The 18,080-nt window shown below is 44.2% G+C and overlaps 1 long non-coding RNA gene across 3 annotated transcripts in view, besides 4 other annotated features; it reads left to right on the top strand.

The window, feature by feature from the left end:
* LOC124900191 (uncharacterized) overlaps positions 1-18,080 on the top strand; it is a 115,042-nt gene that overhangs the window by 9,895 nt on the left and 87,067 nt on the right. The gene's annotated exons all lie outside the window — the stretch shown is intronic.
* Positions 1,668-1,767: an enhancer, noted in NCBI's record as "active region_22718". NCBI's record gives its function as "activates an Ori minimal core promoter by ATAC-STARR-seq in GM12878 lymphoblastoid cells {active_cell/tissue: GM12878}" and the evidence as "EXISTENCE:reporter gene assay evidence [ECO:0000049][PMID:35858748]".
* Positions 2,363-2,492: an enhancer, noted in NCBI's record as "active region_22717". NCBI's record gives its function as "activates an Ori minimal core promoter by ATAC-STARR-seq in GM12878 lymphoblastoid cells {active_cell/tissue: GM12878}" and the evidence as "EXISTENCE:reporter gene assay evidence [ECO:0000049][PMID:35858748]".
* Positions 5,179-5,228: an enhancer, noted in NCBI's record as "active region_22716". NCBI's record gives its function as "activates an Ori minimal core promoter by ATAC-STARR-seq in GM12878 lymphoblastoid cells {active_cell/tissue: GM12878}" and the evidence as "EXISTENCE:reporter gene assay evidence [ECO:0000049][PMID:35858748]".
* Positions 5,799-5,858: an enhancer, noted in NCBI's record as "active region_22715". NCBI's record gives its function as "activates an Ori minimal core promoter by ATAC-STARR-seq in GM12878 lymphoblastoid cells {active_cell/tissue: GM12878}" and the evidence as "EXISTENCE:reporter gene assay evidence [ECO:0000049][PMID:35858748]".

Below are 18,080 nucleotides of genomic sequence, written 5' to 3'. Positions count from 1 at the left end.
GTGCAGTGGTGTGATCTTGGCTCACTGCAACCTCCACCTCCTGAGTTCAAGCGATTCTCCTGCCTTAGCTTCCCGAGTAGCTGGGATTATAGGCATGCACCACCACATTCAGCTAATTTTTTTATTTTTAGTAGAGACAGGGTTTCATCATATTGGCCAGGCTGGTCTCAAACGTCTGACCTCAGGTGATCCACCTGTCTCAGCCTCCCAAAGTGCTGGGATTACAGGCATGAGCCACCTCCCAGGCCTAGACTGGACCTTTTCATATCGCAAGTGAGACTGTTCAGATGTCTGAACGTGATCAAAGTCTTGGCATTTGCCTGGAGAAGTCACCAAAGAGCAAGTAAGGAGAACTAGACAGAGTCCATTTGAAGACAATGGTGGGAGAGAAAAATAAATGGAATCTTACCGACTTCAGTTTGCTCAATAAACTGGTGATGTGTTTGAGGAAGAGCAATATTCCCATTTGCAACCAGAGGATTTTTCCATTTCACATGCCCAGTTTCTTTTGGATGTTTATAACCAAGGCAGGGCTCCTGCCCTCAAGCAATGCCCAGTCTAGGGAGAAAACTGGAAAGGGAACAAGTGACAGTGTTATATCGGGAAAGTACAGCCCGCTATATGAACAGAGGGAAGGACTACCAATCCAATCTTGGGACCAGGGAGGCTTCCAAGGAGGTGACATCTTGGCTACATTTTTAAGGAGAAGCAAGAGCAACCAGCAAAAGGCCAGCAGTGGAATGGGGAAGTAAAGAAAGTTGCAGAAGGAATGGAAAGAGAGAAGGGACGACTTTGGGGAGTTTTGATGAGTTGACTTTTAGATGTGTTGATCATGCAAGAACATGTGGCCTGGAGGTCAGAGGCCCTGTTCTTGTTCTAGAGATTGTACTACCAGCCACGTGCAGTATTTGGAGCCCTAGTGTTTGATCAGATATCTCAGAACAAATATGTGTAGAAAAAAAGGCCGGGTGAGCGGTGGCTCACTCCTGTAATCCCAGCACTTTGGGAGGCCAAGGCAGGTGGATCGCTTGAGGTCGGGAGTTTAAGACCAGCCTGGCCAACATGGTGAAACCCCGTCTCTACTAAAAATAACAAACAACAACAAAAAAAATTAGCCAGGCATGGTGGCAGGCACCTGTAATCCCAGCTCTTCAGGAGGCTGAGGCAGGAGAATTGCTTGAACCCTGGAGGCAGAGGTTGTAGTGAGCCGAGATTGTGCCACTGCACTCCAGACTGGGTGATACAGTAAGACTCCATCTCAAAAAAAAAAAAACAAAAAAGAACAAGTATGTGTAGAAAAAAAGAGGCTGTGGATACCAGTTGGTCAGATAGGTTGCCTTTGTGAATGCCTGCTCCAAGAACCTCAACACATAAACAGTTGTAGGATCCTGGGGAAGATAACTTTGTAAAGAATGCAACCAGGCAAAGGAAGCCCCCAAGGAATGGATGTTTTAGGGCTTTAGCCCCTGACCTCAGTGCGGAGACTTATCCGTGGGGCTCCGGGTTTAACTAAAGGAGCCACTCTGGCCGGTAATAGACAGATCTGAGACAGATCCAGCAAACTGAGTGGCCACCTATTCCCTGTCCTCATAGGCCCAGATGCAAATCTCAGCTCTGTTTTATCCCTTAAAGAGGCAAGGTGAGCTCTAGAAATGGCATGGCCGAAAAAAGGATAAGGATGAGGAAATAAATTGGGGTTTGTTCTGGTGGCTGGAGCATTGCTGGTGGAAACTGCACCTTTAGGACAGGTTCTTTCCCAGTAGGGGCAGCCCCAGGCTGGTTCACTAGACCACTCACCTGGGGAGAGCTGAACCCCCAAAGCCAGGTCCAAGAGGAAGAAAGCACCAACTCCAAGCCCTTTGGCTCAAGAAAGGTCCTTGACTGTGAACCAACTGTGTGCCAACCAGCTTTCTCCTAAGAGCTGAAGAAACAGCAGTGCCCCTAGAGGCCAAGAGGAATCCCCAATGTTTGAGAAGTGGATGGCAGAGGATAAATGAGACAGAACAGTTGGAAAAGTGGGAGAAAAATAGGAGAGAAAGTTCCCATAGAAGCTGAGTAAGAGGTTTAGAAAACATTGATTAATAGAAGAATGAAAAAGTGCCCATTGGATTTGGTGAGGGGTGGTCACTGGTCACTTTGACAAAACCAGTTCCAGTGCAGCGATGGATTCAGGAGCCAAGCTGAAGTGAGCTCAAGTAGGAAGGGACTAAGCAATTTCAGGTAGTGAGTAGAGACCGCCCTTTCCAGAAGGCTGACTGTGAAGAGGAAATTGAATGCAGAAAAGGAAGTACCTATAGGGACATAGTGCCATAAAGGAGGAAGTTGCTCTTTTTTTAAGTTGGGTGATAGTAGAGCATGTTTGAATGATAATGAGGAAGAGGAAAGGAGAGGCTGAGAATGTGAACAAATGAGGCATAACTGACGGAACAAGAACTCACAAAGTAGGAAGGGATGGCCCTAGAAGAGCACAGGTGTTGCACAGGTGGGGGAATTAGCCTAGGGTGAGGACAGGAGCAGGCTTTCACTAAGCTATGGAAAAAGCAAGGCGCTCAGGAGCTAGGTGAGGATGTAGACAGGTTCTTAATGGAGGGCCAGAAAAATTAATGCTTGTTGCCTTCCTCGTGAATGAGGAAAATGGTGAATGACGCATCAACAAAAAACAATTTTGTGGCTTCAAATTATTTGTATAAAGATCTCATTTAATCCTCACAACAATCCAAGTGGGTCTTCCAGTTCCAAATCTAGGTTATCCCCCAATTTCTCCATTGTTCTCAGCTACCCTGACCTGGCACTTTTTCCTCCTGTAGCTCTACAATACTGGAACTCCCTCAAACTAATCCTTTCCCAGACATTGGCCCAAGACAACTCATAAGTCTCTCTTACAGCTTGCTATGCATTCAGTGTTTTTCTTCCCCTAAAATTCATGTTGAAGCTTAATCCCCAATGCAACAGTATTAAGAGAGGGACATTTAGGACGTGATGAGCCAGGAGGAGGGCTCTGCCCGCGTAAATGAGACTAGCGCATTATTCAAATGCTGGAGGGAACTAGCTTGGCCCTTTTCGCCCTTCCATTTATTTGCCATGTGAGGACACAGAGTGCGTTTCCTTCAAAGGACAAAGCGACAAGTCAATGTCTTGGAAGCAGAGACTGGGCCTCACCAGACACCGAACCTGCTGGCATCTAGATTTTGAACATTCAACCTCCAAAACTGTGAAAATACATTTCTGTTCTTTATAAATTACCCAGTCTCAGGTATGTTGTTCTAGCAGCACAAACAGACTAAGACACAGCTGCTGCCATTGAGGGAATCCGCGCAACAGTTGGTTCTTTCCCTTCTTATCTCTGTGCCTCAAATGTCCCTGCCATCCAGCAACAAGCAGTTCCAGCACAGCCTGCCAGTGTTCTGGTTATCAGTCCTTCTCTGACCTGTTGCACAAAAGGATGTTAACCAAATCCAGACCTACATTAGGCGCATGGTACCAACTCTTGTCTATAGCCAAGGACTATTACCTGCCTTAATGGGGGTTCAACTGGTGGTGATTTGTGTAGAGAACACTTGATCAGTTATCCTCTTACATTCATTTATTTATTTATTTATTTATTTATTTATTTATTTATTTATTTATTTATTTTGAGACGGAGTCTCACTCTGTCTCCCAGGCTGGAGTGCAGTGGCACGATCTTGGCTCACTGCAATCTCTGCCCCCTGGATTCAAGCAATTCTCCTGCCTCAGCCTCCCAAGTAGCTGAGACTACAGGCTCGTGCCACCACACCCAGCTAATTTTTGTATTTTTGGTAGAGACAGGGTTTCACTATGTTGGCCAGGATGGTCTCGATCTCTTGACCTCATGATCCACCCGCCTCGGCCTACCAAAGTGCTGAGATTAGAGGCATGAGTCACCACGCCCAGCCTCCTCTTATGTTTCTTATATGCACTTAATACCCAAAGGAATATTGGGTGTTACGCCCCATACACCATGGGGCTCTCTGATTCCCAGCTGTTGTTGGCCCCATAGTCTTTCTCCTGGACTTTTCCATTCCCAGGTAGCATCATTACAATATATTTAAAGGGTTGGGCGGGGGAGTCCCATGGTTATTAGTTCATGAAGTGAAAGAGGGGAGAAGGGCAAGGTTAAAGTTGCAAAAAGAATGTGAAAGGCAGAAAATTGGATGAGATCAAGGAAGCAAACCTGTGACTATCAAGTCAGGTGACATTTTTCTGCTTCTGTTCAAGTTGTCTTCAAGGCCACTCTGAAAGAGGAACTTTGAAAATAATTTGAGTAATAATAGCATCATGTGACTAAAACTCACATGTATTTTGGTTATACATTCTAATGTGTTTGTTTAAAAAGGTTTGTTATTGTTGGTCATAATTTATGCAGTCTTTCAAACAGTGCTCTGTTAAAATGAGGTTCTTCTAGCTGAACTAGAAAGGTAATTTTTTTAAAAATGTGGACCCAGGATTCAACTTTGTGCTAAGTATGTTTAAACTTTCCAGTCCAAAAGAAGAATGAAGCTTTTTGACATTGTGAATCAACAATGTGGTTAAAGGTCATAGGTTTAAAAAATCCGACACAGTTTAGGTTTGACTCATGCATTCAAGAGGCAAATCTTTTTGACCCCAAGGTGAAGGTGAAACTGCCTTTGCTGATAGGGCAGCTCCAGAAAGCAAAATCACTTTTGTTTTGAAGGCAGCTGTTTTCCTAGATGCTATCCTTTCATTTCAACCAAACAGATTCATTATGCACTGAGCAACGAATAAAATAAAAGCACGGGTACCATTTCCGATCGAGGAAATTGTCCAGGACAATTGTCCTGGACACTCCTGATTACCTCCTATCCCTTCTTTCACTTTCCATCCATCTCAAGGGCCAACCCAGCAGGTTATTTCACCTTATCCCAGGCTCCATGTGAAGTGTACTGAACACAGAATTGGACTTCTTCAGTCTTGATCCTTGGTGCTAATTCACCCCCAGCATGATGGACACACATCCCCAGCCTTCTTGGTCTGGCTGTTTCAGAGAGCACCTCTCAGCCCCTCCACAAGACTAGACTGTGCCTCTCTAGAAAACAACCAGTAACTCTCATCGTCTATAACTCCCGGGCTGGCCACAAGGCCTTATGCAACAGGTGAGGTAGCCGGGAGTCTTCTCCAAAAACACTGAAGTTCTAATTTGCTCTTTTTCCTTCTGAAGATGTCTCCTTAAAGAAGCCCTTCTGAATGCCATGGTGTGTTGGAGATGTGCCTTTGTATCATGAGTTTCACAGCAAAATCTAGCACAGGCTTATTTTACATCTCCTAAGCCCCCAGTGGATATGAGTCATCCCAAGTATATCAGAGTCTCCTAATCCCGCTCACCCAGAGCCCTACCCAGCTTCAGGCTGGAAACCAGCGCCTCCCAGTCCCCATCTGGATGGTGTCAACAACTCTTTCCTTTCATGAAAACCACATGTGAACATAGGTTTTGGGGTTTTTTTCTATTGGTTTTGGAAGAAAAGAAACACATGCAGGGTAGGGGCACCGTCATGTTGTCAGAGTGATGACTCGGCTTCTGGCAAACACTTGGTCTCATGGGAGGCAGAGAAGAGAAGCTCTGGTAAAAATTAGCTTGGAGATGTTCCTTTCTGTAAACACAACCTGAAAAGATGTAAATCGCCGAGTGGGCAGAGTCCTTGCCTGTCCCAAGTGCAGGCATTTATGGTATCAAAGAAAGTTTACTTATAGCCATTTCAACTTGGGTTTCCTGTGAATGAATGGGCAAGAACGTGAGTGGAGAAGACTTGGATGGAACTGGGCTTTCTTCATGTATTCAGCCCAGTAGAAACCACTGCCCTTTACAGGAAACAGTGAGACACTGTTTGGAAGATAGGTCTAGGGACTGGAAGAACTCTCTCACAACAAAGCTCTGGGTGTACCTTGGATTGAAATATGATTTCAAATGCAGTTCATCCCTGGGAGAAGTGTTAAGACTTGCCTTATATTTCAGAGGTTCTTGGACAGCAGGATTTTCTTCCCCAAAATTATGATGCAAATAATTCAAAGTATACAGCATGGTGGCTCAGGCAGCCCTGCCTTGACAACATAGAGCTGGTAGAACACTGTTTTTATTTATAACTTTAATAAGCAAGGCTCTTCATTAGGTGTTATATTCTATGGCTGTTTCCTCTACAGAATATAGACTAAGAGATGCACATACATCCCTACACATAATATATGGTCCAAACTATGTTTAAAGGGCAAAACTCATTGTTTGGACTCGAAGATCTATTACATTTATATCTAACCCATGTAATATTCTTTTTCCACCTAAATCAATCAGTACATTCATTGAGCACCTTCAAGGTGGGCAGTGCCTTCAGGCTGCCATACATAGAGAAGCCTTAGCTGTGGTCCTTGACTGCAGGAAACCTCATTAAGGAGACACCCAGCTGATGAAATGTTAATTAACAGTTCAAGACAGAACGTGATAAGTGCCAAATGAGAAAGGATGGAATGACCTGGAGAAATTCAATTTAGAGAAAATGAAGGGCACATGAGAGAACAGGCTTCCTTTTTCAGCAGGAATCTTGAACCTGTCTCCAGAAGGAAGAACTTCTGAGTTTCAGGAAGGATCTCAGCTCATCTTTAGAAAGAACTTCTAAATTGGGAAAGCCAACATAGTGAGGTTGCCCAAGGCATGCAAACAGACTGAATCACCATCTGTTAGGGAAGCAGAAACAGGATTTTCTACATTGAGAAAACTAAATAACCTTTAAAATTGGCTTGAACCTGTGAAATAGTGACAGGAGCATAACTCAATCTGCACCTCCCTGGGGAGCTGGGAGCTCTGCTGGGCCTCAAAAAGTAAGCAGCCTCTAGAGGGGTAGACCCTCTCCTCCCACGTGCTCCCAGACCACCCACCACTATCACCCACCACCTGTTCCCTGGCAGAGCCCAACCCACAGCAAAGCCATCTCTATGGCAACAGAAGCTGGACACTTACTAAGAAGTCAAGATGGATGCATGCATGGTGTACTTAAGGTCCGTGCATTTCACTGAATGTAATTTTTCTTTTTAAGAAATCTATAGAATATGTAGTCTAAAAAGTACTGATGTCTGCAGCTTACTTTAAATTGTATCAAACAATAAGATGGATTATGGATAAGAGATAAGTGAAAAAACATAGCAAAATACTAATTGTGGAACCTAGGTGGTAGGTATATGCGTATTCACTGTACAATCTTTGGCTTTTTTGTATATTTGAAATTTTTTATAATACGTTGGGGAGAAAATCCATGTAGCTCCATCTGTTGAAGAGCACAAATGGCTTTCGGCTCCTGCATATTTGGAACACCACAGAACATAATAATGTAGGTTTCTTGAGTTCTCACTGTTCACTAAGCACCTTATGTGAACTGTCTCATTTATCCTCCCAAGCACTTATGAAGTAAATACCATCATCTTCACTTCATAGACAGGAAAGCCAAGGCACAGAGAACACAAAACATTTGTCCAGAGTCATGCAGGTGGTAAATGTCAGGGTCAGGATTTGAACTCAGGTTCTAACTGACTCCAGAAACCAAAGCTGTGACTCCCACGCCACTCTTTGGACCCAGATGTGGATGTCATGGCCTTGCCTTGAGGAGAAGCCACTTGGTGTTGGGGGAAGGTGGGAGGGGTGACTGCATGGTAGCACTTACATTGCTTCTAATGGGTTTCAGATGGGTTTGGTTCTTCAATTGTTCTGTAATTGTTAATGGACACCTAGACTGCCACCTGCGAGTTTTGTTCTGGTTTCATCTCCACCCCCCGCTTTTTTTTTTTCATTTTAAACAAGTGTATTTAAACAAGATGACTTGGAGGGAAAGCTATCTAGGACTTATTTCTTTTAGAGTGATCTATCCCTACTTAAAGACAGACTGCCCTACATATAATGGCTGCATACAAAAAGGTTGCAAGATCATCCTTGCTTTTACAATGATTAATGAAAAACATAATTCTCCGAACAAGGCATGCAAGAATTGTTTACATTGTTTGTGTTGTTGTTAAACAGTGAGAGCAAAATAACTTCCTGGAATATAAACAGCTGAATCAGCATGCCACAATGGAGAAAAATGACATTTTCACAGAACCACTAATTTTTCCCAACCATCGCCATCTGATGTTGATCAAAACATATCATTGGCCATTTAGCTTTTTAAAAATGTGATAGCTTGTGCACACACACCAGTTACTTTAGGTACAGTCATGCATCACTTAACAGAGATACATTTTGAGAAATGTTCAATGATTTTGTTGTATGAACATCATAGAGTGTACTTACATAAATCTAGATGGTGTAGCCTACTACACACCTAGGCTGTATGGTATAGCCTATCATTCCTAGGCTACAACTCTGTATGGTACAGAGTACTGTAGGCAACTGTAACACAATGGTAAATATTTATGTATCTAAACATAGAAAATATACAGTAAAAATATGTATAATAGGTGGGACGTGGTGGCTCATGCCTGTAATCCTAGCATTTTGGGAGGCCGAGGTGGAATGGGTGGGGGGAAGGGGATCACCTGAGGTTGGGAGTTCGAGACCAGCCTGACCAACATAACAAAACCCATCTCTACTAAAAATACAGAAATTAACCGGATGTGGTGGCAGGTGCCTGTAATCCCAGCTACTCGGGAGGCTGAGGCACAAGAATTGCTTGAACCTGGGAGATGGAGGTTGCAGTGAGCCAAGATTGTGCCCCTGCACTCCAGCCTAGGCAACAGAGCAAGACTCTGTCTCAAAAAAGAAAAAAAAAATGTATAATATGTATTCTGATTATGGGACCACTGTTGTATATGCATGTATATCCATTGTTGACTGAAACACGGCACATTCAACACATGACTGTACAATAAAGCGATAGGGAAAGGGAAAATGAAAGACTAGAGAAACTGCTGTAGTTGTCAGGATGTGGTGGAAAGAAGTCGTGGTTTTCTCATTGAGAACATATTCTTGGTCTGTAGGAACAGAAATCTGGAATAACGTAGCCGGCTCCCTTTTTAGTAGGTACTTGCTGTCTGATGCTGGACCCCATCAATTGTATCTTCATCCTCCATGTGCACCTGTGCAGGTGTGTCTGTTTGACTGATTGGCTGCCTATCAAATCAGAATCTGCTCTACCTCACTGGCAAATCCTGTCATTCACAATAGGCTTTCATTAGCTTACTAAGTGATATATGGCTCTTAACTTTAAACTGTACCACAAACCATCTTCCCTGCCACCTTCAAATTCATGTGACTGTTGTTTTCAGTCTTGACTCCTGCCGTAGGCTTTTTGTCAGCCTTGATGAGTGCATGAATGTCCTTAGCTGCTGCAGCTTCTCAGAAGAGGTCCTAGGTCCCTGTTGAATGAATTTGATCTCCTATTGCCCCATGGAGTTGCTTCCAGTCATTTGTTGAATGTCTGAAATATGAACAGCACTGTGAATCAGATCCCTGAGGTCGTTTGCAGCTCCCTCATAGTTTGCAAAAAGAAAAAAAAAAAAAACATGGATGATATAATACTCTCACCCTTCCTGTTAAATTTCAAAGTCCCTAAATACTTCTTGACTGTGGTGTGGAGGCTTCCACAATGCTCTGGGGAGCTGGTCAGTCTGCCCTGGGTGTTTTTTCTCAGAAGGGCCTGGGAATTCCAGCTCAGATCCTGCCCTGCTGGGAGGCACCTACCCCTGCAGGATGCCGATCATCAGTCTCACAAGACTAAACAAATCTCTCCCTCTCCCCGCAGGCTGCCTGGGTTGCACAACACACCGTTTTGGGCCTAGGAAGGCCATCTCTTTGGTCCTTAGATTCAGATTTTTGGGGTTTCTATTGTTTATTTCCTCTTCCCTCTACCTTTTAAAAGGAGGTAGTGTCGGCTGGGTGCAGTGGTTCACATCTGTAATCCCAGCACTTTGGGAGGCCAAGGCAAGTGGATAACTTGAGGTCAAGAGTTCAAGACCAGCCTGGCCAACATGGTGAAACCCCGGCTCTGCTAAAAATACAAAAATTAGCTGGGCATGGTGGTGCATGCCTGTAGTCCCAGCTACTTGGGAGGCTGAGGCACGAGAATCTCTGGAACCTGGGAGGCAGAGGTTGCAGTGAGCCAAGATCGCACCACTGCACTCCAGCCTGGGTGAGAGTGAGACTCCATCTCAAAAAAAAAAAAAAAAAAAAAGGGAGGTCGTGTGCGCGTGGAGGGGAGGCCGCTTCCCAAAACTAGAGAAAAGGAACTACAGCCCTGGAGCCGACCACTTCCCTGGAATAGAGAGCAGGGAAAAAAGAATTTAAAAATCCAGAACCAGGGAGTAGGGAAGAAATTCCTCAAGACTGCACCTCTGGGTCTGCCCCACAGATAACCTGGAGGTCAGGCTGTCTGAAGAAGCTCTTGCTTGGTTTAAGTGCCCTGCAGGGACTCTGATCCCAGGGGTCCAACCAGGACCACTGCTCTAATTTTGCTGTGGAAGTGTTTAGACCTTACTAGACCACATGATTCCAGGACAATGGGGTAGGGAGGCTGTGCAAAGGGGTGTATGCACAGTCTCCCTCGTGCTGGAGTGGGAGTCCCGGACAGCATCTCCTGCTGAGCTGGGCCTGGCCCTTAGGGCCTTCAAAGCCAAAGTCATGTGGGGTCAGAAGGTAACTGCTTTAGAAATATTGGAAGGAATCTTAGCATTGGAAAGATATTCAGCCCAACCCTCTTTCTCTTTTTAAAATTGTAATTATATATAACATAAAATGGATCATTTTAACCATTTCTAACTGTAAAATTCAGTGGCATTAAGAGCATTCACAACATTGTGCAACCATCTCTATTACTCATTTCCAGAACTTTTTCATTTTCCCACACTGAAATTATACCCGTTTAACCATACCCCCTCTCTTGTTAGCAATGAAGAAATCAAAAAGGAAAGGGACTAGCCCAATGTCATGCAGTTGGGACAGGGGTCTACAATCTTAGAATCCAGTGCTCTGTTCCTTATACAACCTATCTGATTTCTTAAAATAAGTATTTTCAAATTACACACACACACACCCCAAGTATTCAATTTCCTGCCCTGGGAGCCACACTTTCAGAACGATGTTGGCAAACAAGGGTGTATCCAGAAACAGCCGACAGGATGGTGAGGGACCTGGAAAACTGATCCTTTATAAATGGAAAGAACTGGTGATGGTGATTCAGGACAGTTATGGGTATCTTCAGGGGTTTTCAAGTATAGTGTGTAGTGTGGAAAAGAGATTCAATTCACCCGACTTCAAAGGGCAGGACCAGGATGGAGGGTGCAAGTGGCAGCAAGGTCATTTCTATTGGAAACTGGAAGGATGTTTTCATTACTCAGCTAGAGCAGCAGTGATGAGCTCCTGGCTGCTGGAGATGTGAAGCAGAGCCTAGCTGACCACTTGTGCTGGTGTGATGTGGAAGGGATTGATGCAGCTGAGGAAATGCCCCTTCCCATTCTGAGGCTCCTCATGAAGGAGGGAGGAGATGATGTCTGAGGCCATAGACTCGCCTACCCCACCTGCACAGTTTACATACTCTCGAGCTGAATGGTGTAGGCCGGAGTCCTGAGACAAAGAGCTTTGGAAGCGTTTGATGGGAAGGTGCTCACAGTTTCAGCTGATAGCACAGCAGGGACACTGCATAGAATGGTTAGACTGTGTGCGTTCCAAGCTGCAGGTCATGAAATCAATCACCCAGCAGTTGTTTTTTAAATAAAATTCAGGCTGGGTGCAGTGGCTCACGCCTGTAATCCCACCACTTTGGGAGGCCGAGGCAGGTGGATCACCTGAGGTCAGGAGTTCGAGACCAACCTGACCAATATGGTGAAACCCTTTCTCTACTAAAATAAAAATAAAAAAAAAAATTAGCTGGGCATGGTGGCGGGCACCTGTAGTTCCAGCTACTCGGGAGGCTGAGGTAGGAGAATTGCTTGAATCCGGGAGGTAGAGGTTGCAGTGAGCCAAGATCGCGCCACTGCACTCCAGTCTGGGCGACAGAGCGAGACTCTGTCTCAAAAAAATAAAAATAAATAAATAAATAAATATAAATAAAATTCAAACTATATCAGAGTACAACAAACAGGGTAAGGGTAAACAGGAACGGGTGTTTTTCAAGAAATGCTTTTGGTTATATTGTATATATGAGTGTACAAAGTCAATGTAAAATGTATGTTTTACTGTGGGTTTAATTTTTTTTTAACTTAAAAGTTTAAAAAGTTTCTACTGTTTAATATAATGCATGGAACAGAAATGTCTGGAGCCTTAGAAATGGGTCACAAGTTGCTAGAGAGCTCACATGCCCGAGGGGAGAGGTGACAGTTCCTGCCAGACTGAACAACTCTGTCCACTTGTTTTCTTGCTCCAGTTGACTGTGAAGCTCATGTCTGTGGCACAGCAGTTGGGACCATGGGGTAACTAAGTGCATTGCCTTGGCTGGGAGCACTGCCAAAAACCCCTGCATGCCTGAGGGACAGACAGAATGGTATATCTGACATCTTATTAGTCTTTCTTTCTTGCCGAGAGATTGTTGTGAAAATGAATTTTGATCCTCAGACAGAAACTGGAGAGAAAACCTGGAGACAGAAAACTAAGTGTGAATATAACCCCTCCACACACACACACACACAGCACCCACATACCCACACATATGTGCAATTATTTTACTCCCTCAATACCTTAAATCAGGGACTTTGCTCTCCCTGGGACAGGACTGTGCACATGTACTGAATGGACTCTCCTGGCACTATGGTTAAAAAGCAGCTACTAACAAGTTCTAGAGACGGTTTGGAATAAACAGGCAAGTCATGGAATGCAACTTTTTGGACCACACTGCACAATAGGATGTCTATAGCAAGACTGAAAAATAATTTTACATGTGTGTGTGCAGATAGATAGAGTTTTCCAAACTAAGGGATGCTGCTGCCAGTTCTACAGGGAGTTCTTTCCATTATGCGGGATACGGAGAGTGGGTCTGTTTTTGTGTGCCCAACATCCCTTCCTGATTCTGACATCAGCATCCTCCTCCCTCCATTTCCTATGAACAATTGTTCCTGGTGGGCTACCCATTCTAATAGTGGTTCCAGTGGGACTGTTAATTACAATGTCTTGCTCCATCCCCCTGGCTTCAAAGAATAGCCCATGGGGAAGACGAGAGACCCAAGCTGGTCCAGCAAAGGTATTTCCCTAGCACATATATATATATATATGAATGAAATGGGCAAGAACTCAGTCTTTCCTAATGAGTGGCTAAGCTTGGAAGCCATAAGTTGGAGCTGTCTTTGGCCCCATTTTCTTCCAGCCAGGTGGAGAAAGACTACTGCTGCAAAAAAAGAACAAGGAATCTGGTCCCCAGTGATGTGACCAAACATAGGAAGGTGGGTGGTGTGTGTGTGTGTGTGTGTGGTTTTTGTTTGTCTTTTGCTTAAGCTAGAATAAGTTGGTTTTTGGAATTTGTACCTGGGAGAGTTTCTTCAGCACTTGTATAATAGAATGGGTCCAGGATGTAGAGTAAAAAATCCATGTTCAAATCCTAGAGCCACTTCTTATTAACTGTTTTAAAGATATCTCACTTGTCCACACCTCAATCTCATCTGTACAAGAATAATACCTATTCCTCAGAGTGCTTGTGAGGCTTAAATGAGTTATCTGCATGCAAGTGCCTTGTTTAATGATAAAATGTTGTCTAAATGTTAAACATAATTACTAATCCAAGCACCTTGCTCTTAAAAAAACAAAAAAAGTTCCCTTGTGCACCCTGCCAGTCAATCCACTCTCCCCCGGGGAACCACCACTCTGCCCCCTATCATCATAGATTGTTTCAGAAACCTAGATTTGAACCCCAGTGCTGCTCACTGTAACTGATGAATTTAAACCAAGTACCTTATTTCTCTGAGTTGCAGTTTTGTAAATGCAGTAAAATGGGTTGTTTTTTGTTTGTTTGTTTCATTTAAAGGCCAGGCTTAATGGCTCACGCTTGCAATCCCAGTGCTTCAGGAGGCTGAGGCGGGAGGGTGGCTTAAGCCCAGGAGTTTGAGGCTACAGTGAGCTATGATGGTGTGACAACACTTCAGCCTGGATGAGAGAGAAAGACCCTGTCTCTAAAAAATATTAAAATAAATAAACTTACATTGGAGGGTTGTTGCAAAGTATGCTAGGGTAGTAAGATAAGCTTTCTAATAAAGAGCCCTAACATGTAGCAAGCTAAGGAGCAAGCAGTTTATTTCTGTCACAAAACCACCCAGGATGGATGCTCTGGAATGGTGAGTGGCTTGGACACCAACTCTGATAAACAACTTGTGTTTTTTGTTTGTTCGTTTGTTTGTTTGTTTTTGAGATGGAGTCTAGCTCTGTTGCCTAGGCTGGAATACAGTGGCGTGATCTCTGCTCACTGCAACCTCCGCCTCCCAGGTTCAAGCAATTCTGCCTCAGCCTCCCGAGTAGCTGGGATTACAGGCGCCTGCCACCACACCCAGCTAATTTTTGTATTTTTAGTAGAGACGGGGTTTCACTGTGTTGGTGAGGCTGGTCTCAAACTCCTCACCTCATTTTCTGCGCACCTTGACCTCCCAAAGTGCTGGGATTACTACAAGCGTAAGCTACGAAGCCTGCCCAACTTGTGTTTTAAGACCACTCCATGTTCCACCAGCTCAGCTAACAGGAAAGGAGGAAGGAACATCAAAGAGGCAGCCTGCTTTCTAAAAGCTCTGGCTGGAGATTGGCAGGCCCTTGCTCAGCTTCCATTGGTGAAAGTGTGGTCACATGTCCTCACCTGGCTTCCAGGGTGACCGAGGAATGCAGTCCCAGGCTGGACAGCCATGTTCCAGCTACGACTCTTGGAAGAGGAGAACAGATTGTGGTGTAGAGCTACTGCATAAGGAGTAAATGAGAGAATGAGGGTAAAGAGCTTAGAATAGTCCCTGAAATGAGGTAGTAATCAAATATCAGCTGTGTTGATATTATGCATTCTCTCATGCAGTAGGAATTAGAAAAGAAAGCTTTTTCTCAAACTAGGCCACACAATGACTCTTTCAAGGAAAAATGTACTGATCTCATGATCGTATTCTGCCAGCTTCCTTGGCAGCTCTGAACGCATTTCTTAGCTCCTTTTCTCTAAAGGTCTCCATTCTTCTGCCCCAAAGAGCTTCTAAAATAATCCCTAGAGTGACAATCTTGAAAGACAGGCCATGGAGCAAGTTCAGCCTCATCTGCTGAAATGCCCCCTTATGAGATGAGCAAGAAGAGAAGACAATTAAAAGATGATAAATGGGCATCAGATTTGCTCCATTTCCCAGCCTAGTTTTGGCCTCACTATGAATTCATGCAGACCAGTGTGGAGACCCTGGGAGTTTTTTTCCTGTTAACCATGGCACTGACTACCTCCCATCCTGCTGGCAGACTTGTGGGGAGGGGGTGTGTGGTGGGCACCTGGCAAAAGAGGAGATCTGAGATTGATTGATGGGAAGCCTTCCAATGCCATAAATAATGCAGCCCTGAGTCCCATTAGCCATGGAAATTCGCAACAAGTAACTAATGAAGTCTTTAATTATGAAGCCTAGCTATTTAGTGTTCCAAGAAGGCACGGTTCCTAATAAATACTCTGGCAGAGGCCATAAGCAGGGGGTGGGCTGTGTTGTGTGGCTGGTCGAGTATATGAGAGACCACCCACAAGGCCGAGATGGCAGAGCAGCTGGAGTGTGGCTTGTTTGTGACCTCAGCAGATGGGCTGCCAAGGAAAAAAAGTTCCCGACTGCCCTTTTCCCTGCCCCTTACCCCGCCCTCTGGACCGCCCAGACGCGTGTGAGGAATTGGGCCATGGCTATGGCCAGCCCACCTGCACGCAGCTCATCCACAAACATTACCTGGCTCCTTAACGACTTGTTTTGAGCATTTCCACCAGTTAATTAATTTGCAGGTTCACCTGTTAGCTGTGAATAGGATGTGATTTCTTCCATCCTGCTTGTTACGGCTTCCAACTGTGACCATGTGCAAGCATTGCTTGGGGAAGAAAAAGTAGGAATGATTCTATCCTCTACATAGATTATGAAAAAAAAAATGGGGAAACCAGGAAGCACTTCTTATAAAAGTGCATTCAAGGTAGAGATGTCCGGTTTGGGGGGGCAAATGGATTCCCTAAGACTGTGTCCACAATACAACATAAAATGGAGGCAATTCTCCAGATCATTTGGGCTGAAATTATTTTACTGAAAGATCCAGAAAGTTGAAGCTGGGTTGCTTTTACATTTATTTTTTGTTTCTAGTCTGACTGGTCCAGAAAATTACCTCAATTTTCCAGCTCACTTCACTTGTCCGGCCAACTTACGGGGAACTCAGTTAATTGCTTTGTTCCTGACAAGGTTCAAATCTCAAGTCCAAGAAATGTGGCTTCTAGAGGCAGCCCTGGTGTGCTTGGGCCATCCCAACACTGCCTTCCCAATGACTGGAGGGCATCAGCGCTACATTGGGGTAGGTGATGGAGAGAATGCCATGTCATCTAAAAACTAAGAGCCATATAGACCCCACCATAGACTTCCAAGGGAATTATCAAAAGAAGGGAAGCCTATATTAGAAACTTTCAAAGCTCCTTCGGGTGGTATCCATGGAAACTAGAGGAAACAAAGGTAACAGGCCAGCCTTACTTCAGGTTGTGGAGGCGGCCCAGAGTGAGTCTGAGCTAATAAAGAATGCTCACTAAAGTTCCTGCACAATCTGTTGAGACACTTGCAAGCCTCGGAGCATTTTTTACTTTGGCCTGGAGCCCTCTGAATCTATTTAGCTGATGATTAATTGCAGGAAAGGTCCTGGGAAACAGATCAGGAATAGAAAGTGGTTTATATCAGAGTGATCATTAAAATTTGATCAAAAGCTAGACTTGGCTAGTTACATTTTGAAGGCATTTTCTGAGCAAGTTCTAAAAAGCAGTTCCCAGCCTTCCCCACCATGAACTCTCATTGAATTTCCAAGTAATGTTTTCGGGCAGTGCTACAAAATGGGTCAGAAAGAAGTGGAACAAAGCAGCTGAGTGGGTTGGGATCTTTTCAGGTGGTGATGTGGAGAGCAGAGCAAAAGAAGGGGTTTCAGGGATAAGGCAACTGGTGAAAAGCTTCAGAAGCATCCGCAGCAATGAGTATGATTGACTTCAATCTCTGTGTAGGAAAAAGTAGCATACAATCGATTTTGAACTTACATGTCACTTAGGTCTTATAAATTAGTAAGTCTGAAGGTTGGGATTAATAATATTTTCCCATAGCTGCAGTGCTACAAATCCTTAGTTTTAGGTGTCGCCTTAGATGACAGTTCTTCCAGAAGCCTCCCATCCATCCACCCAGGCTGCACCAAAGACTACCTCTCCTGGTGCCCCCAGCACCATATCTACCCAGGGTAACTTTATTGTACAGTTGTGAGTGTCTTTTTATATCTGCATCCCCTACTAGACTATAAGTTCATTTTGAGAGGACTTTTCAGCTCTAGCTCAGTGCTTAGTACTCATAAGTGTTTCATAAATATCTGCTGAATGAATGGAAAAATGAATAGTTGTTAAGTTTCCAGCTCTTCCAAAGAAATCTGTTTCAACAGGAGAAAAGTAAAACCCTAACTCTGATTTTTTATAGATGATATCTGTTATTCTCTGCTACCATCCTGACACAAGAATATACCCTACGTGACAATTCCTGATAGTTACATGGGTTCACACTGCTTCTGTCAGAAAAGGAATTTTGGCTTCCAATCAGGAACTCAGAACACCAAAACCATATTCATTCTGCTTCGATGCCTTTAATAAAGACAGTTGCTTTCTGCCTCCCCACCTGCTGTGGCTGGGAAAGAGGATTCTTTTCCTTTCTTTTCTGCTTATGCCCTTTCTACTTAGTATATAAAGAGGAGTATCTCCTAGGGGTTGCAGCAGAAAGGACTCGATACTCAAATTCATAAGCACAGTTCTTGTATCCCAGGGAACACCCATTAAGCAATGGATGTGTATCCTGGGAGCTGTCTGTCTGTCTCCCTCCCTCTCCCCCCCATATTAAAAAGGAGGAAAATAAATAGACCATTTTGAACTTTTATATTTCTCTTGTAATAA

The sequence above is a fragment of the Homo sapiens genome, chromosome 5 (genome assembly GCF_000001405.40).
Source record: "Homo sapiens chromosome 5, GRCh38.p14 Primary Assembly".
Taxonomy (NCBI): domain Eukaryota; kingdom Metazoa; phylum Chordata; class Mammalia; order Primates; family Hominidae; genus Homo; species Homo sapiens.
Note: the sequence above shows the minus strand (reverse complement) of the source record. Positions and strands in the feature narration are given on the sequence as shown.